The sequence below is a fragment of the Homo sapiens genome, chromosome 1 (assembly GCF_000001405.40).
Source record: "Homo sapiens chromosome 1, GRCh38.p14 Primary Assembly".
Taxonomy (NCBI): Eukaryota; Metazoa; Chordata; class Mammalia; order Primates; family Hominidae; genus Homo; species Homo sapiens.
In genome coordinates, this window is record NC_000001.11 from 24,117,928 (window position 1) to 24,144,197 (window position 26,270).

Here is a 26,270-nt window from a genome sequence, read left to right on the forward strand (position 1 = left end):
CCAACCTGAGGAGGGGTGAGTCACAGACTCGAAGCCATCCATCCCTCTCTTCAGACACTCAGACTCCACCCTCCCAGAATCATTTCTGAAATGTTTGTCACCCGGAGGAGGGCAAAGAGCTTCGTGTTACTGTGAGTTGGAAGAGATATTTATGGCTTTTAATAAAACTTCTTTTTTGAGATGGAGTCTCGCTCTGTTGCCCAGGCTGGAGTGCAATGGCTGGATTTTGGCTCACTGCAAACCCCGCCACCCGGGTTCAAGTGATCCTCCTGCCTCAGCCTCCCAAGCAGCTGGGATTACAGGCGCCTGCCACCATGCCCAGCTAATTTTGTACTTTTAGTAGAGAGGGGGTCTCATGTTGGCCAGACTGGTCTGGAACTCCCAACCTCAGGTGATCCACCCACCTTGGCCTCCAAAAGTGCTGGGATTACAGGCGTGAGCCACTGCGCCTGGTCTTAATAAAAAACTTCTGTAGCTCCTGGGTCTCACTTGGTGAGAATAGTCCACCTGTTAGGTTGTTTTTCACCAATAAACAAGGTGAAGACAGTTAACCTTTGGCCAAGTGTGACCCAAGCAACAGGAAGTAGACTTGTTTGCAGTGGGTGGGGAGAGGGGAGCCGTCATCCGGCTGACTTGGCTGCCGTGGAGGGGTGAATGGGCTGGGGGGGGCTGTCCAGGTAGACCCATCCCTCTGCACGGAGGTGTTGGGTCTAAACCAGTGACACCGAGGAGATGTTAAACATTAATTACCATCAGATAAGAACACCACCACCTGTCACTGTGTCCCAGGAAAGGGGAGGGGTGGGGAAGAGAAGAGGAGATGTACCTGGGAAGAGAAGGACACTGTCCACTCTGGGAAGGGTCCCTCTGAGGTGACTGGTGTTCCATCCTCTTTCTCAGAAATGTTCAGAAAAGGCTTTGGAGGGCAGGTGTGGTGGCTCACGCCTGTAATTCCAACTACTTGGGAGGCTGAGGCAAGACAATCACTTGAGCCCATGAGTTCAAGACCAGCCTGGGCAACATGGCGAAACCCCATCTCTACCAAAAATACCAAAAATTATCTGGGCATGGTGGCATGCACCTGTAGTCCCAGCTACTCGGGAGGCTGAAGTAGGAGGATCACTTGAGTCCAGGAGGTCAAGGCTGCAGTAAACTGTGTTCATGCCACTGCACTCCAGCCTAGGCCACAGGGTGAGACCCTTTCTCCAAAAGGAAAAACAAAACAAACAAACAAAAAGACTTTGGAGCAAGGTGACCAGGAGCACTTTTCTCTTGGGGACCCCATTAGGAGGCCTCCCCTCCTTAGCCTCCACTAGTCTCATCCTCCAAGAATCCAAGCAGGTGTGGAAAGCTTCCTCTCTCGATGAGGACAAAAAGCCCTAGGTTTGCACTCCAACTCTGTCACAGCCTCAATAGTGGGATCTCGGGTAGGTCCCCTCTCCCTCTGGACTTTGGCTTCCTCATGGTAGGGGTCGTCTGAGATGCAGTGATACGGAGGGTATGGCAGCAGTCTGAGAGCACAGAGTGTGCAACACTGCCTCTGTGGGGGATCAGGGAGGCTGGATGGACAGAGGCCGTCTGAGATTACCACTGCCACCCACAATGGCTTCTGCCTACGATCTCAGGGAGAAGGTTCCACATCATTTGTCTCTGAACTCTTGTCTCTAGAAGGCCCTGCAGTCCCTCCTCTTTCCCACCCCAGACCCCTCTGGCTTTGCCTGTCCTGAGGAAATCCAGGTCATTTAAGCCCATGAGAAAATGCCAGGTGTGTCTGAAGCCAATCCGAATTGGGGGAGGGGGTCACTCCTTGTGTAACGTAGTTTAAAAAAAAAATCACAACAGGAAATAGCTACCGTTTATTGGGCACTGCCCATGTACCAGGCACTATTAAGCACTTTAAAGACATGACTTCATTTCATCTTCACCACAACTCCATGAGGTAGGTGTTATGATCCCCACATTACAGATGAGGAAACCGAGGTTCTGGGCACTGATTTCATTTGTTTGAAGTCACACAGCTTGTGAGTGGTGAGGCTGGAATTTGAGCCCAGATGGGCTGAACCCAAGGCAGAGCTTGCAAAGTTGTGACATCAGTACAGTGTGTTATTGTACCCGTCCAGGGGCCACAGCCCTCACCTTCCTTTCAAACCCCATTCTCAGGATAGGGTCTGAAACTCCTGCCTGCAGAAAAGGCTTGTGTGTCTCCCTCCCTGGTGGACCTGCATTTCGCTTTGTTCTATCAGAGGAATGAAGCTGAAATCGTGCAACGTCAGGCAGTTGCCCTGGCTGGGAATGAGCTGCAGGCCACACCCCTCCCTAGAGTCCTGCCGTCCTGCTGGCCCTGGCCTTGGCAGAAGTGCAGGTTGTTCTGGTTCTGCCCAGCCTCCTTCTGGTTCTTTTCCAGGCCTGGTTCTTTTCCAGGCTCTCTTCCCACCTTTGAACAATGACAGAAGAGGCAGGGGCCTCATGCTCTGTCGAGCTAGATTGTGAAACTGGCCAGGAATGGGGCAAGGAGAGGCAAATTCCCTGAGCACTTTGAATCCATGGTGTTAGGAGGTGGGGCTCTGGACCTCGGGAGTTTCCCTGCATTTCCTCCTTGCACTGTCATTTCTGCCTTGCAGGGCTCAGCGAGCACGCGCTTGTCTACACAAGCTGCTCCCCAGAGCTCCCCCGCTGCAGTCCTTATCATGCTGCTTTGCTCCGGTGAGGAGCGCACCCATGGCAGGGGCCCTGCATGCCACTCCCTCTGCTTCTCTCAAGGGCACCCGTCTGAGGCCAGATCGCAGAGTGTGTGGCGTGGGCAGGCATGGGATTGACAGCCAAGGATGTGACACTGGGTAGGGACAGGGAGGAAGCACCAAGCCTTTCCCATTCCCCTCAGGACTCCCACTGCACAGTCAGGGCCAGGCCTCTGAAAAGAGAATCCAGTTCTGTGGGCTGCTCCAGGTCTGAGGTCTCAGGGGCTGGGCTCTTGGCTTCATCCTTGGGACACACAAGGGACTCCAGCAGGCCCCAGGGACTTGGACCTTGGTCCGAGGGGGAACATGGACGGGAAGGAGGTTGCAAAGGGAGGGACATGGGGTGGCCCTCGATCTGGACTGAGGAGAGGAGGGGGAGCTGGCCCTTTAGGTACTGTGGTGTCCCTTCCTCCCCACTGTGTAGCACATTTGGGTCAGATGTTCTGTCTGTGCAAATCCCCAGGGGCTGGTGCAATGATTTTGCTTCTTGGGATTCCTCCATAGCCAAGGAGGTCACCTCCTGCAGAGAAAGGCCACCTAACATGCAGCTTCCAGCTGGTGGCTCTTTCTGAAGCTGACCTTTAGGCCTAAGGTGTTTAGGACTAGAAAGTGTCCCAGTGGGGGAGTCTTTGCCAGAACCTTCCATGCATACCCCATAGGAGGGAGGCCAGCTGTCCGGAGTGGCTTGAGGGGCATAGGAGGAAGGCTGGACCTTAGAGATGGCCTGTGGGGCGTAGAATGGGAATTGAGCTTCGGGGGTCACCTGAGGTGCATAGGATGGGGGCCCGACCTCAGGGGCAGCGTTTGGGGCATAGGACAGTGGGGAGAGGATCTGGGGAGGTGGCACGTTGGAGGGCTGGAGGATGGAGATGTCTGGCTGCCCTAAGTAGGTGATCTCGGACAGGCTATGCCGCTGTGGAGCTCCTGCGGGCTCCCTGGGTCCAGACACCCTGATCTGGGAGTACTGGACAGGCTGGGCCAGACTGCTGGGGCCGCTGAGGTCAAAGACAGGGATCAGGACGTGCTCCTGGATGAAGCGCAGCGGCTGGAAAGTCAGGACTCGCTGGACGTTCTGTGCAGGGACGACAACAGTCACCCCCCTGTGGTTAGGGTAAGTCCCAAGCTCCCTACTGGTGATGTGGGTGGGTGAGGTCCTCCATAGGGAGGCATCTGGGGGCTTTTTCAAGATGCGTCTGTCCCATATCCCCATCTGCTTCCCAGAGACTCCTCTAGGTGCAAGTGCCTCTCTGAAGGGACAGGGTCTCTCAGCTCTTTGGTTCTAAAGCCTGGGTTATCTCAGGGAGAGAGATCTGGGCTCTGGTTTCTCCAGGAGGCGGATAATCCAGGGAGTAGATGACCAGGATTTGGGGTTGCCTTGGGGCATGATCTCGAGGTGGTGGCCCGCATTGTTGCTTGGCCCACGGGTCCCTGAGGGCCTAATACAGGGTCAGGGTGGGAAAAGAAGGAGCCAGGAGAGACCGGGAGAGCTTTACAGAAAATGCTTCATCTGGACTTGCACATTGAGCAAAACTCCCTCAGAGCTCCTCTGTCCCTCCGATGGGCAAGAGCAGGCTCCGGGTGCCTCAGGTGGCTCAGCTCATGGCTTCTGCAGTGGCCTTGCTGCTCTAGCAGAGGCGGCACTGGCGTCAGGTGGGGGCTGCTGATGTGATTTGTGTGGCTGATGTAGGGCTTTCCATTTTATTTTTATTTTTTGGGTGGGGGGTGGTTTTATTTTTTGGGTGGGGGGTGGTTCTGGTCTTCACTTGCTACAGCAATTCTAAAAGAACTGTAACAAAGGGCTTTCCACTTAACAATTAGTTTTGCCATTTAAAAATTTCTGTTTAAAATGGCCAGGTGCAGTGGCTCACGCTTGTAATCCCAGCACTTTGGGAGGCCGAGGTGGGTAGATCACCTGAAGTCAGGAGTTTGAGACCAGCCTGGCCAACATGGTAAAACCCGTCTCTACTAAAAATACAAAAATTAGCCAGGTGTGGTGGTGGTGCATGCCTGTAATCCCAGCTACTTGGGAGGATGAGGCAGGAGAATCGCTTGAACTCGGGAGGTGGAGGTTGTGCTGAGACGAGATCATGCCACTGCACTCCAGCCTGGGTGACAGAGGGAGACTCCATCTCAAAAAAAAAAAAATCTGTTTAAAAAATTAGTTCTGAATATTTGAAAATTGGGAGATTCCACAATATAATCTGAAACTCTGGCTTCTCTTGAAAAACATGAAGATCAGGCAGTGCTGGGCCTGCATTCCCACATGGTGGTGCCCGGCTGCCCATTTAGACAGGGCATGAGTGCCACGGCTCTCCTGGCGCCCACCATTCCTCCCTCGTTGCCTTGCTGCTCACTCAAGTCCCACACTACCCTCCTGGTGCTGGACACTTCCAAGCCATGTGGGTTTTTTATTCCATGTCTACTATTCCTGATCACCCACCCCACTTCAATGTGTCCTGAGACCTGCTGGGCTACACGTCCGTTGACTTTAGCTGGGACTGTGAGCTCCGTGAATGGAGAGAGCAGGCCCATCTCCTGCTTTGTCTGTGGATCCCTGCATTTTGGGGACAACTGGGGACCTCGGAGCCCAGGCCCTCCCCTGGACCTCTCCCTCCCACCCTGGGGGGATGGCTCACCAGGGAGTTGGGAGGTGCAGGCGGCTTGGTGACATATCTGTAGCTCAGGTAGCAGAGTACTGCGACGAGGAAGCCCATGGAGAACAGGAAGGCTCCGGAGAAGGAGTAGGTCCATGTCCGGTCTGGGAAACCAAAGGGGCCAGAGAAGGAAGCGTGAGGCTGGGCTCTGCCTGGGCCCGGTTGGGTCTGGCCCCACATGTGGATGCTGAAAACCCTCTCTGGCTGGGCTGGCAAGGCCTCTCCTACCGTCAGAATGCAAGATCACAAATGGAAGTCCATATACTGTACATCTAAATAGTCAGAATTTACAAATTATATTTTTACACTGTTAAATAAATAAAATGTTCGAGGTTTCCACCTTAACAAAAAGATTTTTTACAACCACCTGGGATGCCATATTTTAATTCAGAGTTCTTGGACTTCTCTAGGTACTGTGCTGAAGTGGGGAGGTACAGGGAAAGCCCGCAGCGCACTGCAGGCCCCCAGCCCAGCCCAGCCCAGCCCAGTTCCATCCCACACTGCCAGGGCCCTCACGCACATGTGTATAGATGCCCCAGCCCTCATGGTCGAGCTCATCCATGTCCCCTCCAAATAGCCACCTGTTGGTCATCCTTTGGGCCAAGGGTCTGCACTACATGTCAGCAGTGTCTGCCCTCATGAGGAAGTACCCCCAAAAGAGGACTGCCTAGACGGATCACAGGCTCTGGGCCATATGTACAGAGAGTTTCAGGGTCCCAGGTACTCACAATGTGATCTAGAAAGGAGGTCACAGGATCCAGATGGATCTGCCCCCTTTGTTGTATGGAGTCTTCATCTTGCAAGGAGGGGAATGGCCAGGACAGGGCCAGAGAAGGGCCTTCTAAAGTGCTGGGTGCAGGGAAAGGCCCCTTTTGCCTGAGTCTAAGGGTGGTCCTGCCTCCCTGGTAGGGTAGAGGCAGAGGGAGGGGAGAAGTGAAAACAGGGAGGCCTGTCCTCTCCACCTCCCTACCAAGATAAGGGGCTGGGCATCAGGGAAGATCTTGGTCAAGAAGGGAGCCTGGGAAGGCACTGTCCTGTCTAAAATGGAGGGGAGAGGGATGACTAGGGCTCTAGTGCCTGAGCCTCTCCCTGTGTCTCAGCATCTTTGGGATGGGTGCAGCCAGTTCCAGGCAGGACACACTTCCTGTCACCAGTCCAAGTGGGGCTTGTGAAGGACTTATGGAGGAAGAGGTTGTTGGAGTTTTTGGTAAAACTGACAGTTTGCAACAGAGGGAAGGTGACTCAGAGAGTCAAGACCCCTGCAGTCCAGGGGCCAGCTAATCACCCTCCCTCTCTTCCTGGCCCCTGTGCAGCCTCAGCTTGGAGAGTTTATCAATAGCTCCAATGACCTCGGCGATCACTGTGAACTCCGGGTACTGCTGGAACCTCTACTTCTAGCCCACTCCTCGATCCTCCCCTAGCCCACGAGCTTGGGCCTCTCTGGGTCAGCTTCCCACTTCAGTGAAACCCTGTCTCCTGTCACATGTTACCCCCATCCCTACTCCAGGAAAAAGACCCCACCCGAATGTCTATAACATTCCTGGAAAACCACTGCTGTTTGTTCCAGGACAGAATAGGGACATGGAATGGTCTCTGGCTTGACATATTTCCATTTCACACTGTGTGTATTGGATACATTGCCATTTCACCCATAGGGAGGCTGGATGGAATATAAAAACACCACCAGCCTGAGAGTAAGGAATACAGGGTGTTAGAGGCCTGGCTCTGCCACAGATATGCTGAGCATCCTTCCTGCTGCACGACCCTCTCTGGTCTACCCTTTAATAATAACAGTAGCCAGCAGTGGTTGAACTCCTACTACAGGCCATGATCTGTATGATCATGTAGAGCTGGGTGCTCTACCTATGTTATCTCACTACATCATCAAACACATCACAGAGGGGTAGGGACGCTCCCTTCCTATGGATAACAAAGCTGAGTCCCAGAGAGGTTAAGTGACCTGACCAAGGTCACACAGCTACTCAGTGGAGTTACATGTGTAACTCAAAACTCATCCTCCCTGCCACTCTGCAAGGAAGCCTCAGTTTCCTCATCTGTAAGAGTAGGATATGAGGTGAGGTGGCCCTTAGAGCCTCTTCCGTCATCAAGATGCTGGGACAATGCTCTGTGACCCTCCCTGTTTATCTACGGAGAGGTAGGTAAAGGGGATTCTGAGGGTAATGCAGACGTCAGGATACACAGTCAAGGGCAGGATGCATCACTCTGAAATGGAAGTAGGAGGAAGAAGTGTGCAGTACAGGGGGCTCACTGTAAACAAAGTTGCAAAGTGGTGGGTAGAGCCCAGCCTTCAGAACCAGATGAATCAATCAGGTTCCCCAAGCAGCTGTGCGGTCACAGGGAAGTTGCTTAACCTCTCTGAGCCAGAGTTCCTCCTCTGTAAAACGAGGATGATGCTACCCAGCTTACAGGATTGTTGTAAAGATTAAATAATATATGTTACATGTAATAATAAAGATTAAATAATATATGTAAAGCATTTGGCACAACTATTTGCTTGGCAATATAGTAGAACCTAATAAATGTAGGAATTGTTTTAAATATATTTTTAAGGATAAGGTGCCTTCTATATGTCAGCAAGAAGTAGCCACCAGGAAGTGTGATTTATATAAAAGCTATAGTCTTAGGAAAAAATGGTATCTCATTATAAGCAAGACAAAGTAAGGCAACAGAAGGGTGTTGTGGGTAAGGGTGGAGTGGTCTTCACATTGTCAAAAAGCTGGTGGGCCAGGTCCCATGGGCCAGGAGCAGCTGAGATTTATCTAGGACAGTCCAGGGAAGGGGGTCATGAATCATACAAACACTCCCAGCTTAGCCCCAGAACGTCAGTTTCCTTTTTCTAGTTCTCCTCTTGCCAAGTTCTATTCTGAGCTCCCTAGCAGCCTTTGCCCCAGGAAGGGCATGCCCCATGCAAGTGGCCAGTGTTGGCTGTTCCGTGAGGCATAGCTCCCCTGCCAATTGGTGCACTGGGATTCAGGTGGAGAAATCAGTCTCTTGTGGGCTGTTTGGAAAAGTGATGAGTTTCCGAACAAACCTGAGGACCAGAGTGTCATTTTCTAGGGCCCAGCTCTGGCAGCTGCCTGGCCTCTGATTATCACCTCAGCCCAGGCATCAGCATCCCTATTTGTCAGATGAGGGATCAGGCTCCCAGAGGCTGAGTGACTCCCCCAGGCACGTGGTTGGCTGACATCTGACTAATACCGTGCCTTCTCATTCCTCACACGGTACTTCTCTTTCCACTATGCCACACACAATGTCCAGCTTGCAAACTCAACTCTATTCTGAATGTTGGCATGGTTGGAACTGAAATCACTTACTGACATCATGAATCTGAACATGAGGATAAAGTGGAGACTGTTTTACCAAATCTATCACATCCACTGCCGTCACCTTCATCCTCTAAACCTGCAGCTCTGAGCAATACAACGTTTCCCTCCGTCTATGAAAAGAAACACTAATAAAAACATCATGATGCTTGTGATGAGAATCAAGTTTCAGTGTGCTAGAGGAAGGGACCATCTCACTGAGCAGATGATTCAAAACTATATCTAGGCTGGGCGTGATGGCTCATGCCTGTAATCCCAGCATTTTGGGAGGCTGAGGTGGGTGGATCACTTGAGGCCAGGAGATCAAGACCAGCCTGAGCAACAGGATGAAACTCCGTCTCTACTAAAAATACAAAAAAAAAAAAAAAAAAATTAGCCAGGCATGGTGGCACACACCTGTAATCCCAGCTACTTGGGAGGCTGAGGTGGGAGAATTTCTTGAAACTGGGAAGCAGAAGTTGTAGTGAGCCGAGATTGTGCCACTGCACTCCAGCCTGAGTGACAGAGTAAGACTCTGTCTCAAAAACAAAAAACAATAAAAACCCACAAAAAACCCAACTGTATCTATAGTAGCTCTGTGGTAAGAGCATGGCCTCTAGAATTAGGCCTCATTCCATCCCTCAGCACCTGTGTGACCTTGGGCAAGTCACTTTTTTTTTTTTTTCCGAGACAAGGTCTCACTCTGTCATCCAGGCTGGAGTGCAGTGGTGCAAACATAGCTCTTTGCAGCTTCAACCTCCTGGGCTCAAGTGATCCTCTTGCCTCAGCCTTCTGTGTAGCTGGGACCACAGATGCACGCCACCATACCTAGCTAAGTTTTTGATTTTTTTGTGGAGATGGGGTTTTGCCCTGTTTCCCAGGCTGGTCTTAAACTTCTGGGCTCAAGTGATCCTCCTGCCTTGGCCTCCCAAAGTGTTTGGTTTACAGGTGTGAGCCACTGTGCCCGGCCATGGGCAAGTTACCTAACCACTCTGAACCTCAGGTTCTTCATCTGTAAAATGAGGATGAAAATAATACCTACCTCATAGACTGCTCATGAGGCTTGCCCTTGGTTGTGCCTGGTTCCCAGTTAGCACTGCAGAAATGCTAGTTATCATGATACCATTATTATTATTTGACTTTGGAAGATATTGAGGGATCTTTTTATCTTCTCTGCTTCCCCCCTGCAGATTTTCCCTCCAGTATATCTCACCTGGGTTAATATTAAGGTGAGTTTGCTTTGCCAAGGTACACATAAGGCCTGTCAGAGAGGGGAAATCCAGACATAGGCTGGAGGGTGAGAATCAAACATTTGCTTTGATAACTCATCAGCCAACTCTTTTATGGATAAACAAAGATTGACTTCAATAACACACTGATAACCCTTCCATGGTTTTCTAGAGTGTTGCCAAGTCTCACCTTGGTTACAGGGAGGAAAGAGAAGAGTCAAGACTTGAATTCGGGAGCCCCACCTCCCTCTGGTTTCAGCCGAACTCACCTGGCAGTGTCTTCACTCGGCACATGTAGGGGGCACTCTCCTTGGCCCAGGTGGGAACGCAAATCATGATGGTGCCAAGGAACTCTGTGTCAGGGGTCAGGCCGAAGAACTCATATTCTCTCTGCTTCCCTCCAAGGTGCTGAATTGGACAGAGAATGGAATGTGATTCCTGTTACACACCGATCTCCACATAGAGCCCAAGGAAGCTTGCTCGCTCCTCCTGGATTCTGGTTTGATGCTGATGGGTCTGTCTTCAGCCTCTGTTTCCATTCCCCTCCCTTCTGCTTTATCCCCAAATCCAATCAGTCTCCAAGCACGTGTGCCTTTCACTTGCAATAGTGTCTGGCCCATAGGCAGTGGTTATACACACTATATAATGTGGTTATATACATATATATATATATATATAAAATGTGTGGTTATACACACATAATGGCAGCTGTCATTATGACCTCCACCACCCTCCCACGCTCCCACTATCCCTCCTTCTTCCAATTCCTCTTGTCCTTCACCTTTTTGTGGTTAAACATCATAAACTTTTTGAACACCCATTCCTTTCTTTCTTTCCTCATTGCTTCTGCCTTAATTGGGCCTCAAGGCTTCAGCCTGGACTCTAGCAGTAGCCTCTTTCATGGTCGCCCATCTCTGGGTTTGCCCCTGTTCACTTCCATATTCATCCTAGTGTTTATAGGAATCTTTCTAAAAGACAATCTCATTATAATGCTCTTCTATTCAAAAGGCTTTGATGGCCTCACCCATATTTACAGAATAGAGTCCTGGTGCCTGGCTTCCAGTCCAGACTCATTTGTCTCTGCAGCCCACCTGGCTCTGCAGGCTCATCAATGCTGGATACCTGCCACTCGGGTAAACACCTACCTTGCATAAGAAAGCCCTTGTTTCTTTGCATCTGCCAATCCTTCTGCTGGAACTGTGTTTTGATTCTCGTTCTTCTGTGTATCTCTCACCTTTTTGACCCAGAACTCCTCTCCCATGGCTGCCACATGTTATCCTGTCTGGCTCTCCTCCTACCTCTCTGACTGGTCTTTCGCTGGTTTTAGCCCCTCAATGTTGTTCTGCAAGATTTGCTCTTCAACCATTTCCTTCTCTCTCACATACTCTCCAGCCACTTAGTGATCTTATCTGAACCCATGGCTGCTGTGAGCACCGATGTGTGGATAACTCCCAAACTTATCTCAGGAAGAGCTGTAGAGTTTCTGATGGGCCCTGCCAGCTCCCTGCTGAATAGTACCATGTGAGCATCTCTAAGTCAACATGTCCGAACATGCTGCCCTCCTCTCTCTGGGGCTGGCCCCATCCCAGACCCCAAACCCAAATCTGCTTTTGATTCTCTAATTTTGATAATAGCATCACTCTTCTTCTAATCTCCAGGGCCTAAACCTTGAAGCCATTTTGGACAAATCCCCTCTCATATCTTTGGTATCAAATTGCCCTTAAAGGATCCAGAAATCTTCCTTTAAAGGGCCAGAACCTGTGTTCTCGGGAGTTCAAAAACTGAGAATTTTCTTTGGCTCTTTGTATTTCAGCTCTGCCTTCTCTTTTTCAGGCACATGGAGGCCAAGGTTGAGGGTAATTTACTGTTTTCTTTTGTGTGTGTTTATGGGGATGGTGGTGACAGTGAGTGAAGAAGTACATAAATAAATTTTTTAACTTATTGTTTTGTGGAACTCATGTGGTTGGAACTGGACACATTACATATCATGAGACATAACTCCAGGAGAGTTGCCAAGGCCCTGATTCCTCCTTTCCCAAGTTTTTCACGACCTCCATCCTGGTTCAGGCCCTCATTTCCAGCCTATACCATTGCAATAATCTTTTGACTTGCCAGCCTGATATCTCTTCCATTTCCATATTTGATCTTTCTTCATTCTAATCCTAGTAATTTATATCTTCTATTGGACCAAACATCCCCAAAATAACAACTATAAATTCTAAGCAAAATGAAAACCAACTACTTAAAAGCATTGGAGAGAAAATAAAAGCAGGCATATATTGGAGAGAGGAGAAATGTCGATGGGTACATTTCCCATTTTTACTGTCTTGTAGCCTGAAGGCAGACCTCAGTCTACACCCTGTGGAATGGCTAAACCTAGACAGAAACCCTTTATTCTCAGTGGCTTGAATACCCAAAAGGCAGGGCTTGGAATAATCACAGCAGCTGGAAAATGAGGGGAGAAAGCACAGACAGGGGAGAGTGTAGAGAAGGAGGCCCAAACTCTGTATATAAACTCTGCTCAAATCCCTGACCGGCCCCTAAAGTAGGCATGAATGGGGTAGACTCCAAGCAGCCCAGGTAAAGTTAACCAACAAAAAAAGAAGAGAGATTTCAGAGTTTGGAGTTCAGCCAAATTAATTGCCTACCAAAACCGGATGAAACCAAACCAACACTCTTTGGAGGAATATAACAGAATCTACAGTAATTTCAACACAATGTCCAGGATACATTTCAAAATTGTTAGACATACAAAGAAAGAATATGCGACCCATATTCAAGAGAAAAGATAATAGTGACTGACCCTGATGACCAAAATGTTGAATTAGCAGACAATGATTTTATTTTATTTGAGACACAGTCTTACTCTGTCACCCAGGTTGGAGTGCAGTGGTGCAATCTCAGCTCACTGCAACCTCCGCCTCCCAGGTTCAAATGATTCTCCTGCCTCAGCCTCCTGAGTAGCTGGGATTACAGGCACCTGCCACCATGCCCAGCTGATTTTTGTATTTTTAGTAGAGATGGGGTTTTACCACACTGGCCAGGATGGTCTTGAACTCCTGACCTCAAGTGATCCACCCACTTTGGCCTCCCAAAGTGCTGGGATTACAGGCGTGGGCCACCTCACCTGGCCAACAATGATTTTAAAGCAGCGGTATAACAATGCTCCAGGAAGTGAAACAAAATAAGCTCATATTGAATGAATGAATAGAAAATCTCAGTAGAATATGGAAACTATAAAATCTAGGAACTTTAGAGTTGAAAAATTCTAGATATTATTATCTGAAATTTAAAAACCCACTGAATTATCTCAAAAACATTTTGGAAATGACAGAAAAAATAGAGAACTTGAAGAAAGATTGATAAGGGAGAATTAGATAGTGGTGATGGTTTCACAACTTTGTGAATAGGCAAGTAACACCTGAATTGTATGCTTTAAAAGAATGAATTTTATGGCATGTGAATTAATGTCAAAAAAAGGTAAAGGCTGTCAGAGCTGTCTGCAAGAGATACATTTTAAATATAATAACAGAGGCAGATTGAAAATGAATGTAAAAACATATATTATGCAAACCATAAGAAGGCTGGAGTGTCTATATTAATATCGATAAAGTAGACTTCAATACAAAGAGTATGACTACAAATAAAAAGGAACAATTCCTATGACAGAAGGTTCAATCTATCAGGAAGATACAACAATCATAAATATATATGTATTTAATAACTGAGTTTCAAAATGCACGAAGCAAAAATGCACAGAATTAAAGGGAAAATAGACAAATCCACAATTATAGTTGGAGAGTTTACTATTTTCAACAATTAAACGACCAATTGACCTCTCACCTAAATCAGGAAAGACATAGAAGATCTGAATAACACAATTAATCACCTTTACCTAATTGATATTTATAGCGCACTCCACCAACCAACTGCAAAATATACATTCTTTTCAGGTGCACAAGGAACGTTCACCAGGACAGGCCATAGGCTGGGCTATAACACAAGCCTCGATAAATTTAAAAGGACTGAAATCATACAGCGTGTGTTCTCTGACCACAAATTGAATTAAATTAGAAATCAACAATAAAATATTTAATAAGACCCTAAATATTTACCAAAAAATAGTTGTGATAAGGACTCTCCCTGCTTAGTAATCTCTAGTGGCTCCCCCAACTACCGAAAGAAACAAAAATTCGTCCCCTCCACCACCCTATCCCTTCTACAGCATAGTCCCATCCAGTCTTCTGAGGTTTATCTCCCGGGGTCCCTCCACGTCAGAGGTTCTCAAGCTTTGCGTTGGGGAAGAAGCGCCTGGGTTGCTCACTAAAATTCAGATCCCAGGGATGCAAGTGCAATAACTTGATGAAGTTGACTGGAAGGGGACCCAAGAATCTGCATTTTAAACAAGTGCTGCAGGAGATTCTGATGCTGTTTGTTTGGGACCATGGTTTTTGTGTGTGTGTTTTTTTTTTTTTTTTGAGATGGAGTCTTGCTCTGTCGCCCAGGCTGGAGTGCAGTGGCGCGATCTTGGCCCACTGCAAGCTCCACCTCCCGGGTTCACGCCATTCTTCTACCTCAGCCTCCTGAGTAGCTGAGACTACAGGCGCCCACTACCATGCCCGGCTAATTTTTTGTATTTTTTAATAGGGACAGGGTTTCACCGTGTTAGCCAGGATGGTCTGCATCTCCTGACCTCGTGATCCGCCCGCCTCGGCCTCCCAAAGTGCTGGGATTACAGGCGTGAGCCACCGTGCCTGGCTGGGACCATGTTTTAAGAAACTGTTTTACATGTCTTTATGCTCTTGTCAAAGTGGGCAGTTCTGTGCTTTTCAAAAATGTCTTAAGTTGGCCGGGTGCGGTGGCTCATGCCTGTCAACCCAGCACTTTGGGAGGCTGAGGCAGGAGGATCTCTTGAGCCCAGGAGTTTGAGACCAGCCTGGGCAACACAGTGAGGCCCCGTCTCTCTTTTTTTTAAATGGCTTAAGTTTTGCTGCTTTTCTCTCTGATCATGGTGGGGCAGTATAGGCAGGCCAGTGGTGGGAGAAATGTGGGCTAAACAGAGCTGGATTTGAATCCTGTCTACCCTATTATTTGCTGAACAATCTGAGCAAGTGACTTTTAACTTCTCTTCGTTCCCTCATCTAGACAATGGAGATGATAGAACCTGCCTCACAAGGCCGTGGTGAAGATTAAATGACATAATATGCATGTATTACCTGGCATGCCTCAGAAATTGATACTGGCTTCCAGAAAGCCAATACCAATTTCTGTGGCATGCCAGGTAATATATGACTATTAATGACATAATATGCATATTATGCATATTAGGCTTTCTGGAAGCCAGTACCAATTTCTGCGGCATGCCAGGTAATATATGCATATTATGTCATTTTTGGCTTCCTAAAAGTTTTCTGGAAGTCTTTCAAATCTTGCTGTGCTGACATCCTGCCCCACCTCCCAATACCCATATTTTCCTCTACCTATAGCTATTTGAATTCTTGTTTTAACTTCCTTTTCACCCCCTAGATTATAAGCTCCTTGCATGCAGAAACCACAAAGTAGGAAATAAATATTCATTTAACTGAATTGTGGATTGGTGGCACATGCTGAGGGTAGGGGGTACCAAATATTTTCTGAATACGAAAAGAAATAATTCATGTACTATTTGAGAATGTATGCCCTTGCCTTCCACCTCTTATTATTACTCATCCTTCCACATTGCCTGTATATAGTTCCTGCAAATATTGGAAAACTACTGCAGCAGTAGAAATTGATTCTAGCATTTTCTAATGTGAACATCTGAAGATATTAATAGAGGTTGTTCCCCAGGATGTGAGAAGGTGTTAAACAAAAAACAATGTAAATATTATGCAAAAAAAGCAGCTTCTCTGGTCAAATAAATTCTGGAGAAATTGTATTAAACAAATTGATAATATACCTAATGCTAAATGACGAGTTAATGGGTGCAGCACACCAGCATGGCACATGTATACATATGTAGCTAACCTGCACATTTACCCTAAAACTTAAAGTATAATAATAATAAAATAAAAATAAATAAATAAAAAACAAAACAAAACAACAAAACAAATTGATAGTGGAGTCTTGGCTCTGCAGGACTTGTCAGAGCTTTTAGCATGCTATTGTGTGTGTGAATCTACAAGAGAAAAGTTGTCATTTGTGATGATTTCCAGGCTTCAAGGAGCCTCTCAAGGGACATGTTTTGGGAAATGCTAATTTACATAACATGTCCCCTTTTTTTCTTAAAGCAACTCAGATCTAATTGGGAGGGAAGAGGCTTCCTAGGCAGAGAAAGACCAGGGTGCAACATACACTCACCATTTGGTAGGTGCGGTTGACCTGGAGCTCTAAGTGGTAGAACAGGTCATGGAAGATGTCTTCCAGGGTTAGCCGGTGGCCATCGCCTGCACGGATTGGCGTGGGGGTAGGATGAACAATCATCTGAATCGATCTCACTTTGGAGATACAGGTCACATCAGGTGGCTTGAGGGTAGCTGGGGATAGGGAGAGAGAAAAGAGAAAAGAAAAAGTCAGAATCGGTGGGTAGTGTCTGAGGCAACCTTGGACAGTGGAAAATGACTGCTCCCTCTCTCCTTCCACTCCAGTGCCAGCTATGCTTCTGAAAGCAACGGCTAAACAAACAGTGAAAAGAGAAAAGTTTCTACAAGCCCTGGTGTTTGGGTTTCAGGCTGGCAAAGGGATGACCAAGAGTGGATGAGAAGAACTCAGGGGGAGGGGCACCAGTCCCCTAGCTTGGTCATGCCTTTGGCTTGCCCCCACACATCCCAGCCCCCTGCGTCCCCACCTTAAGTCAGCCTAGAGCACCCTTCCTCCCTCATCTATTGAGTATGACAGCTTTGGGGATGTCAATGACATCAACTACACATCCTAAATAATGTTTGGGGCCTAATACTATTGATGCAGCCTCAAAGATCAGGCTGAAGACTTCTGTCTCTCTCAAGATGGAATTTTCCAAATAACCAAATTACCTTTGCTGGTTTACAGACTCCTTTGAGAATGTGATGAATGCTGTGGGTCTTCTTCCTGCCAAAATGTATATATACAAAAATCTTGCATCCAACTTCAGGGATTCATGGACCTCATTTACCCTGAATCTAATTTGTAAAAATTCCTCAATGATCCTTTGGCCTCCAAGATTGAAGATATCTGAGTCAGAACAATGTTTACTTCAGTGCTGCTAATAAAATTGAAAAACTGAGCTGTATGTCCTCAAAAAGGGAAATACATAAGTAAATTAGAGTATCTCCCTAGAATGGATTATTTTGCACTGTGAAATATCTTGTTGTGCAAAATGTTTAATGATATGGGTAAATGTTCATGATACCAATATATGGAGAAAAAGAACCTAAGACAAAAAAGCAATGCCAGATTGCAAAGTAGATACGGCTGCTAGTATCTGCAGTTATGTTACAATGTTAAGATCATTTTGGGTGACTTTTATTTTTCTTTGTATATTTCTATATTTCACACATTTTCTACAATGAATGTGAATTCACTGAACAAGCCAGGTTAAAAAAACAATATTTTACTTAATTTTATTTTTTATTTTCTTAAAAAGCTATGTGTGACTATAAAGTCAGTTGGTGAACATCGTCACACGCTTAGCTTGTGTGGGGAGTTTGGCAACTATATTAGTCCATTCTCACACTGCTAATAAAGACACACCTCAGACTGGGTAATTTATAAAGGAAAGAGGTTTAACTGACTCACAGTTCCACATGGCTGGGGAGGCCTCAGGAAACTTACAATCAGGAAACTTACAAAATGGGAGGCAAACATGTTCTTCCTCACATGGTGGCAGGAAGGAAAATGAGAACCAAGCAAAGGGGGAAGCCCCTTATAAAACCATCAGATCTCACAAGAACGTACCCACTATCATGAGAATAGCATGGGGGGAACCGTCCCCATCATTCAGTTACCTCCTACTGGGTCCTTCCCACAAGACAGGATTATGGGAACTACAATTCAAGATGAGATTTGGGTGGGGACATGGCCAAACCATATCAGCAACTGCTGTCCACTCAACCATTCATTTACTGAATATCTTTTTTATTTTTTTGAGATAGGATCTCACTGTGTCACCTAAGTTGGAGTGCAGTGGGGCAATCCCAGCTCACTGCAGTCTTGACCTCCTGGGTTCAAGCTACCCTCCCACTTCAACCTCCTGAGTAGCTGGGACTACAAGTGTGTGCCACCACACCCAGCTAATTTTTAAATTTTTTGTAGAGATGGGGTCTCACTGTGTTCCCCAGGCTGGTCTTGAACTCCTAGGCTCAAGTGATCCTCTTGCCTCAGCCTCCCAAAGTGCTGGGATTACAAGTGTGAGCCACCACGCCTGGCTATTGAGAATCTTCTATGTGCCAGGCACTATGCTGAGGGCTGGGAATGCAGTGGATTCTGCCGCCCACACATACAGTTCTAGAGCTCACATTTTAGAGGGGGAGGCAGATGATAACATGTGTGAGCAAACACAGTAATTGCAGCGTGTGATCTGAGCGATGAAGACAATAAGCCCTGTATTGCACTAGAGAATCACAGATGGTGGCCTACAGAAATCAGGTCATCAGGGCTGGAGGTGGGGACACTGACTTAGGAGGTGATGTTGAAGCTGAGCCGTGAGGACTATAAAAGAACCAGTCATGTGAAGAGCTCAGAAGTGCCCCCAGAGAGTGGGAGCAGCAAGGAACCCGAGGCAGGGACTGTCAGAAGCTTGGCTGCTCGATGCATTGGGAAGACATGTTCAAGATGAGGACCAGGATAGGCAGGGCCTCGTGGGCCGTGGCAAGGAGTTGGATCTTATTTGTAGAGTCATGAGAAGCTGCCCGAGGGTTTTAAGCTGAGAAGAGAAGGTGGGATTTATGTGTTGAGGAGATCTCTCTAAATGCTCTGTGGAGAATGGGCTGGAGGAGGTGGTAAAGAGGAGAGTTGGGGAAACAAGTTAGGTGGCCTTGACTGCAGTCGGGGGTCAAGATAAGGGTGGTCTGAACTAGGGAGGTTGGGGTGGAGGTGGAGAAAAGTGAACAAACCTGCTAGGAACACACTGTAATTGGTGGGGGTGGGGGGCTTCCCTAAAAGCCACATCCCCAGCTGCCCCTCCCCTTGCAGAGAGCCCCTTCTGGACCCTCCACCCACTCCAGAGGGGAAGAGGCCATCCCACCCCGCAAACACCTGCGCTTTCCTCTTCCCTCCCCTGAAACCCACAGGGGCTCCAACTCACTGTGCTGCAGAGAGCTGAACCTGTCAGTCATCTTGGTGGCTGACCGGCCTCCCGCACTGACAGCGGTGACCCTGGCATAGTAGAGCTCCGTGAGGTTGCCCGTCTCCACCGTCAGGTTGCAGGACTTCCGGGTGATCCGCTGACAGCCCTTCTTTGCCACCCAGTCCCTCTCTCCGTACCTGCAGGTCAGGAAGGGGCCAAGTCACCGTGGTGATGAAAAGGCCAGCGCTAGGCCTGTGGCTTATTAATAATGCCAAGGAGATCTGATATTTACTTAGCACGTTCAGTGGCCCAGGCCCTTTATGCGAATGATCTCATTTTGTTCTCACAATGATTCTCTGAGGCATATGCATTCTTCTCTTTTTCTTTCTTTATTCCTTCCTTTCTTTTTTTTTTTTTTTCTTGAGACACAGCCTCGCTCTGTCACTCAGGCTGGAGTGCAGTGGTGCAGTCTTGGCTCACTGCAACTTCTACCTCTGGGGTTCGAGTGATTCTCCTGCCTCAGCCTCCCGAGTAGCTGGGATTACAGGAGTGCACCACCATGCCTGGCTAATTTTTGTATTTTAGTAGAGACAGTATGGCCACCCTGTTGGTCAGGCTGGTCTCGAACTCCTAACCTCAAGTGATCCACCTGCCTCAGCCTCTGAAAGTGCTGAGATTATAGGTGTGAGCCACTGTGCCCAGCCTATTCTGTTTATTTTTCAAACAAAGAAGATGAGGCTCAAAGAAGTAAATTGCCCACGTGTTTGAAGTGTGCATGTGGAGAGCCAGGATTTGAACCCAGCCAGTCTGAGTCCACATTCTGGGCTCGTCATCACCATAGTCCTTTGATGTGGGCCCTGTTATCCCCATTTTACAGATGAGAGAAATGAGGCTCAGAGAGGGGGAAGTGACTTGCTACAGGACAACGTGGCATGACCAGGAGTGGAAGCCAGGTTTGAGGACTCCTGAGCCCAGGCCACCCCTCCTCACCTGCATGGGAGGGAGAGGAGCAGGAACAGGAGCGTGGGCTAGAGGGGCTGGGTGCATCTTCGGTTGACCTAGTCTCACTAATAATAATAAAACAATTATTGGTAGCTTATAAATTTCCAGGCACAAGTGCTAATGACTTTATCTTGTTTAACCCACCCAACAACCCTGTGATGAAAGTGCTATCATTGTCCTCACTTTGTGGGTGGAGAAACTGAGGCTTCGTGAGGTTACCTGCCCAAGGTTATACAGGCGAGAGCGGCATTTAAGCCCAGACAGCCTGACCCTATCACCTGTACTTTTTACCCTTATATTATTCTCCCTCTGCAAAAGAAACATAAAGGAGCAAAGCTTTATCTGGGAGGGGCTATGTGACACCAGTCCTGGTGGGGACATGGGAACATATGGAGAGGAGGGGAATTCCTTGGAGAGGGGCTGGCTTCAGATCAGTCAAAGGAGGTGGGGTCAAGAGAGAAGCCTACGTCTTATACTCGATGCTGTAGACCGTGTCTGGGGTGCCCTCCGGCCCGCTGTCCCACGTCAGGATGTTTTCAAAGTTGCTGGACTGGAATTTCACGTGCTGGAGCAGATCCGAGGGGTCCTCAGGGGCGTGAGCTGCAGGAGGGTGGGAGGAGGGTGAGCAGGGGCTTTCCCAGGGTCACCCTGCCCATGTATGGGCTCAGTCAGAGTCCTGCCCCATATAAATTTCATGCAAAGTGCCTTTGCTTTCAAGATGCCAGCCTGGTGGGTGGGCAGGGAGACCCTGGCCCCCAGCCTTCTACAAATGGACCAGCAAGAGGGGATGCTCCCCACGCTGTTCTAACCAACCATCCATTCTCAGCCATTTTGCTTTGCAATGGGTTGTGATTCACATTCCATAAATGTCACCACCTTACAGTGTTCAGTTCAATGGTTTCTTAGCATTTTCACAACGTTGTGCAATCATCGCTATTATCTAATTCCAGAACATTTTTAGCACCCCAAAAAGAAACTGCATGCCCATTAGCAGTCACTCCACCCATTCTTCTCCTCCCCTAAACCCTGACAACCACGAATCTACTTCCTGTGTCTGTGAATGTCCCTACTCTAGACTTTTTATGTAAATAGAGCTTGGCTGGCTTCTTTCACTTAGCATAATGTTTTCAAGGTTCACACGTGTGGTAGCATGGATTAGTACTTCCTTTTTAGGGCTGAATAATATTCCATTGTGTGATATACCACATTTTGTTTATCCACTCATCAGGACATTTGGGTTGTTTCTACTTTTTGGCTACCATGAATAATGCTGCTGTGAACACCGTGTTCAATTTTATAAGTGGACATATGTTTTCAGTTGTCTTGGGTATATATCTAAGAGTGGAATTTGGTAGGTTATATAGTAGCTCTATCTTTAACCTTTTGAAGAACTGTCGAACTATTTTCTAAAGTGGCCACACCATTTTTTTGGTCTTTGAGACAGGGTCTTGCTCTGTCCCCCAGGCTGGAGTGCAGTGGCGTGATCATGGCTCACTGCAGCCTCGACTTCCTGGGCTTAAGCAATCCTCGCACCTCAGCCTCCTGTGTAGCTGGGACTACAGACATGCACCACCACATCCGTCTAATTTATTTTTAAATTTTTTGTAGTGATGGGGTCTCATATATTGTCCAGGATGTTATGGCTGCACCATCTTAAATTCCCACCAGCATTGTTTGAGGGGTTCAGTTTCTCCACATCGCCATTGATGCTTGGTATTGTCTCTCATTCACTTTTTAACACAACCTGAAGTTGGTGTCCTCACCCTTATTTTAGAGATATGTAACTAAAGTGTGTAAGAAGTGACTTGCCCCAAGTTGATCAGATGAAGCAATGGTGGAGGAGGCGCTCTTGACTGAGCCCACACGTGGGCAGGGTGGCCTTGGGAAAGTTGTTTAAGCAACGAGAACTTCAATTGCCTCATCTCTAAAATGGATATAGTTTGATTTACCGAAAGACAAACAACAATGACAACAGCAGCCACTGGCATTTGTGAAGTGCACAGCCTCTTTCAGGCAAGTCCCTCCCTTCATTAAATCCTCACGACAACGTGCCCACTATCACTATCCCCATTTGATGAATGAGCTGAGGCTCAGAGAGAGCTGCCGCCCAGCATCACAGTTAGCATGTGAAGAACCTACAATATTCATCCCAGTGCTAGACTGGTTGTGGGGCGGATAGAGCGGGTTGGCGTCTGTGAATGTGTTTAGTGTCTAACAGGCCCCTATGTACATGTGTTGAGTCTGAAGGGAGGAGACCTGGGAAGGGAAGACATTCGCTCTGTAGGGAGGGGGCTATCTTGTTCACCCTTTTATATGAGGGTGGGGGGCTTCAGGGACCTGAGCACCTGATAAAGGGATGAATTTAGGGAGGAGGAGAAGAGAGAGGAGAAGAGAAGCTGGCCATTGAAGAGTCCACAGCCCTCTCTTCCAGGCTAGGTCTTTGTCCAGCCCACTTCTGCTTCTGTTAAGGGAAGGGCAGTGAGGGCCTGAGCCTCAAGGAAGGGGCTGGGGAGGGGCTGCAGCCTCTAAAGCAATCTGCACTGTAAACAAAGAGTCCTTAACTTATAAAACCCTTCCCTCAGGCCCCCAGGCTTGGGCTGTGGAGAGCAAGAGCCTGCGGGAAAATGGCGGCCCAAGCTGGCAGCTGGCTCGGAGCTCGGAGGCCCTGGCCGGCTGGCGTGGGAAATAAACAGGTGGGAAAATGTTAAGCAACCCCAGCTGGGTCAAGGCCTTGCGGCCTGGGTGTGTGTCTTGAATATGTCTGTGCCTCTCCTTCCCCAGACACGTCTACGACTGCCAGTGGGCCCAAGGTGTGAGGGAGCAGACAGTTATTGATTCCCCTACTCCAACTCTACACACAAGAGGGGTCCTCAGGCTTGGCGAGGACCGATGGGGACGGAAGAATGGTCCGACCCCGCTGCACATCCTCTGGCCAACCTCGAAGGCTGCCCTCCTCTCTGAATTTGGGTTCTGGCCCAGCAGCTGCAAAATGTCTTCAGGCTTCCTGGAGTCCCCAGAATGGGGCCTTAGGGATGGCGCGGGGAGGGGTCTACTGCCTCTACGCAAGGTGACGGCTGTGCCGTGGAGCCTTAGGATGTAGCTGACATCTTGTTTGGATGTGAGGCTGGGTGGAATTGGGGTCAGTTCTGGAGGGAGGGGTCCTGGATTCAGGGCTGAGTCTAAAGTTGAGGAAAGGAGTCCAGTCAAGGTCAGACCTGAACAGTGGCTTCTGGTTGGGTGGTGGGTCAGGGCAGAAGGGTGAGGGTGGGCTTTGAGAAGCCAGGCTCCATCAAGGCTTGGGGTAGAGTCTGCAGCGGGAACGGTTGCTGGTTGAGGTCAGTGTTCTGGGTGGGAAATAGAGGGCCCATCTGGGTTGCAAGGAGGCTGGTGGCTGAGGTGGGGGCATGTTGCCAAGGCAAAGGACCCTGGGCTACGTGGAGGTTGGCACCACTTTTCAGGAGGGAACTGCAGTTAGCTTCCTGAAGTGGGGTAAGTGAACCTAGGCCCACTCCTGTCTTTTAGGGATGTCAGGGTCTAACAAGATCTCCCCCTCTTCTCCCACCCTCCTCGCTCCTTTTCCTCCTCAAATCTATCATCCATTCCTCAGCCTGTGTTGCTTCGGCACTTCCCGGGTGAAAGTCTATATTGTGAAATCTGGGGAGACATGTGTTGTGTGGAGCCTGGCAGCCTGGCGGATTTATAAAAGGCAACTTGTTTTTTCACATTCATGTGGAAAAACAATGTTCTGTCAACCAGCTGGGAAGCTAAGGAAAAATACACAAACAAGAAACAATTCCACATGCTCTGGAGTCAGCCTAAGATTGGGGGGGTGAGGGCCCGGTGTGTGCAGCGCGAGGCAGCTGACCCTTGACAATCTCCTAAGGGCTATTTCTTGGGGTCCCCCATCTCAAAGGGCTGGGAGCCTCTAGGATTTCTAACCAGTATGGCTGAGGGTCTAAAGGGACGTGTCTTGGTGCCTCAAGGGGGTGCCTCACATCTTCCTGGAACGCCCAGCTTGATGCTGGGAAGCAGACTGGAGGGGGTCCCACAGAGCTGGAAGCCCTGGAGACGCAGGCAGCCCTGGCGGGACAGTGGCAGAGAAGGTGGGAAGCTCTGCCTTTTCGTGGGCCTCGTCCTGCACTTGAGCAAGGAGGGCCTGGCCGAGGCCATACCTGCTCGCCATCCTCAATCAGGACTATGCTTTGACTTCCTAAGGAAGTTCCCTGAATTTCATGCAATGCACCAGGAGAGCAGAGAGAGAGTCTAGGGTCTCATGTAACGTTCTCCATAATGATGAGCCCCCCACTCCGCTCACTTTATTGGCTTTGAACACTATGCCCTTAAGACCTGTTTCCAAATGAGTCCTGTGTCTTAAGACCTATTAATGTAGCAGACCTGGCCACTCTAGGAGAAAATGCTCTTTCAGATCTATGATAACAAAAGGGGCCAAAGAGGCCCTGCAGGGGCATGGAGGGAGGCAATAGTGAACTCAAGCTTCGTTTCCCCCGGTCCTTCCTCCTCCTCCCCTGTCAGGCCAGTGCCAAGTGAGAGGCAGAGGAAGGATGGTACAAACTGTGCCGACACCGTTTGAGGGACCGAAGGATGTCTGCCTCCTCCAGGCCAATTCTCCATTCACTGAGGTGCAGCGATCCAGCACCCCCAGTTCAGACAGCTGGCTATATCCCTCAAGACCCGAGGGTCCTTTGGGTCCCTGGAAGAACCCAGGGTCTGAGGCACCCTCTCATGCCCCCAGCAAACTAAGCTGGGCATTTGCTTCTCCGTGAACACCCGGCACCCTGCTCAGCCCTAGCAGGGGAGAAACTGAAACTGGCTATGCTCGGGCTGGGGAGGGTGCTGGGGAGATGACCCTGATCGTTGGCCCCTGGGATAAGGGAGGTCTGACCACAGGGTAGATGGGCACTCACCAGCCAGGGATCCCACAGTCAAGATGGTCAGCAGCGTCCTCATCGGGGCTGGCACAGAGCCCTCCCTTGGCCTCTACTCTGCCGTGCACAGAGAGAGGGCTGGGAGTCTTGGCGCCCTGGCAGCTGGCTCCACCCGGGCATGGGGCGGGGAGAAGGGGGTGGGTGGGACCTGTGCCGGTGGGGAGCAGGGGTACAAAGGTGTCCTGGCCCTGTGTGCTCTGGAATTCCAGGTTCTGGGCGGGATCTAAGGGAGTTCCCTTCCGACTTGCAGAAAACAGCAATAGTAACAGGCTGGCTTGTTTATCTGGTCCGGTGGCTGATTCATCCCAAGTGGTTTATCAAGGAGCTGAGGGGCAGAAAAGGCAAGAATAATCCACGATATGCAGCCTTATCAAAAAGCAATTTGGCACTGTGGATCAAAAGCCTACACCACATACATATCTTTTGCTTTAATAATTCTATTCCTAGGGGATTTACCCTGATGAAAATAACTGGACAACAGAGGGGGAAAAAAAAGGTCCCAGAATGTTTCTTGCAGCAAAGGAAAAGCTGTGACTCCTTTGCTTTTCTGGCAGGAGGAGATTGAGGGCACCCGATGCTCCTCCTTGATCCTCCATATCAAGGCAGGTCCCCACGCTTGGGGTGGGCTTGGGAACAGCTCTCCCCTAGAGAGGCCGTTGGGGGTGAGGAAGCCCAGCCGCTCTTACCTTGAGCCTTTGGGTCTAGGATCTGCAAAAGTTTAGAAAAAAAATGGAACTCAAACTTCAGTGATTCTTTCTGCTGTGCTAGAGATGGGGCTGAACTTCATGAATGGGGCTTTGGTTCGGGACGATGAAGATTCAGGCTGCTCTCCCATCATTTTGCCACGTAGGGCAGGATCTGCACATGAGCTTCGTGTGAATGAAGGGACAGGTGTTTAGGAAATGGTTTTCTCCTTCCTGCAGGGCCTGGAGAAGGTAGAAGGGCCCTGGGGCCTGGACTCTGGTCAGGGTGGACACGATTGGAGGGTCCTGCCCCTGGGGAGAGTTTGCCTGGCCCCAAGCACACAAAGGCAAGCGAAATTTTAGCAGGGATCCTGCCAACGGGTTGGGTGTAATGGGCTGTGATATGCTGAGATCGGTGTTTAAGTTTTTCTTTCCTGAATTGTAATTGTTATCA

General features: G+C 48.8%; 1 protein-coding gene across 1 annotated transcript, besides 1 other annotated feature; it reads right to left on the bottom strand.

Moving 5' to 3' along the window:
* Positions 1-1,843: 1,843 nt before the first annotated feature.
* Positions 1,844-25,213, bottom strand: IL22RA1 (interleukin 22 receptor subunit alpha 1). Its single transcript, NM_021258.4, has 7 exons — positions 25,113-25,213; positions 20,655-20,787; positions 19,204-19,382; positions 16,284-16,459; positions 10,214-10,352; positions 5,375-5,496; positions 1,844-3,810 (listed from the first exon to the last, which is right to left on the bottom strand). The coding sequence occupies exons 1-7, from the start codon at positions 25,153-25,155 to the stop codon at positions 2,878-2,880; spliced, it is 1,725 nt and encodes a 574-aa protein (NP_067081.2). The 5' UTR covers positions 25,156-25,213; the 3' UTR covers positions 1,844-2,877.
* Positions 2,512-2,806: a silencer, noted in NCBI's record as "tiled region #13639; K562 Repressive DNase matched - State 20:ReprD". NCBI's record gives its function as "represses a minimal TATA promoter and a strong SV40 promoter by Sharpr-MPRA in K562 cells {active_cell/tissue: K562}" and the evidence as "EXISTENCE:reporter gene assay evidence [ECO:0000049][PMID:27701403]".
* Positions 25,214-26,270: the final 1,057 nt, after the last annotated feature.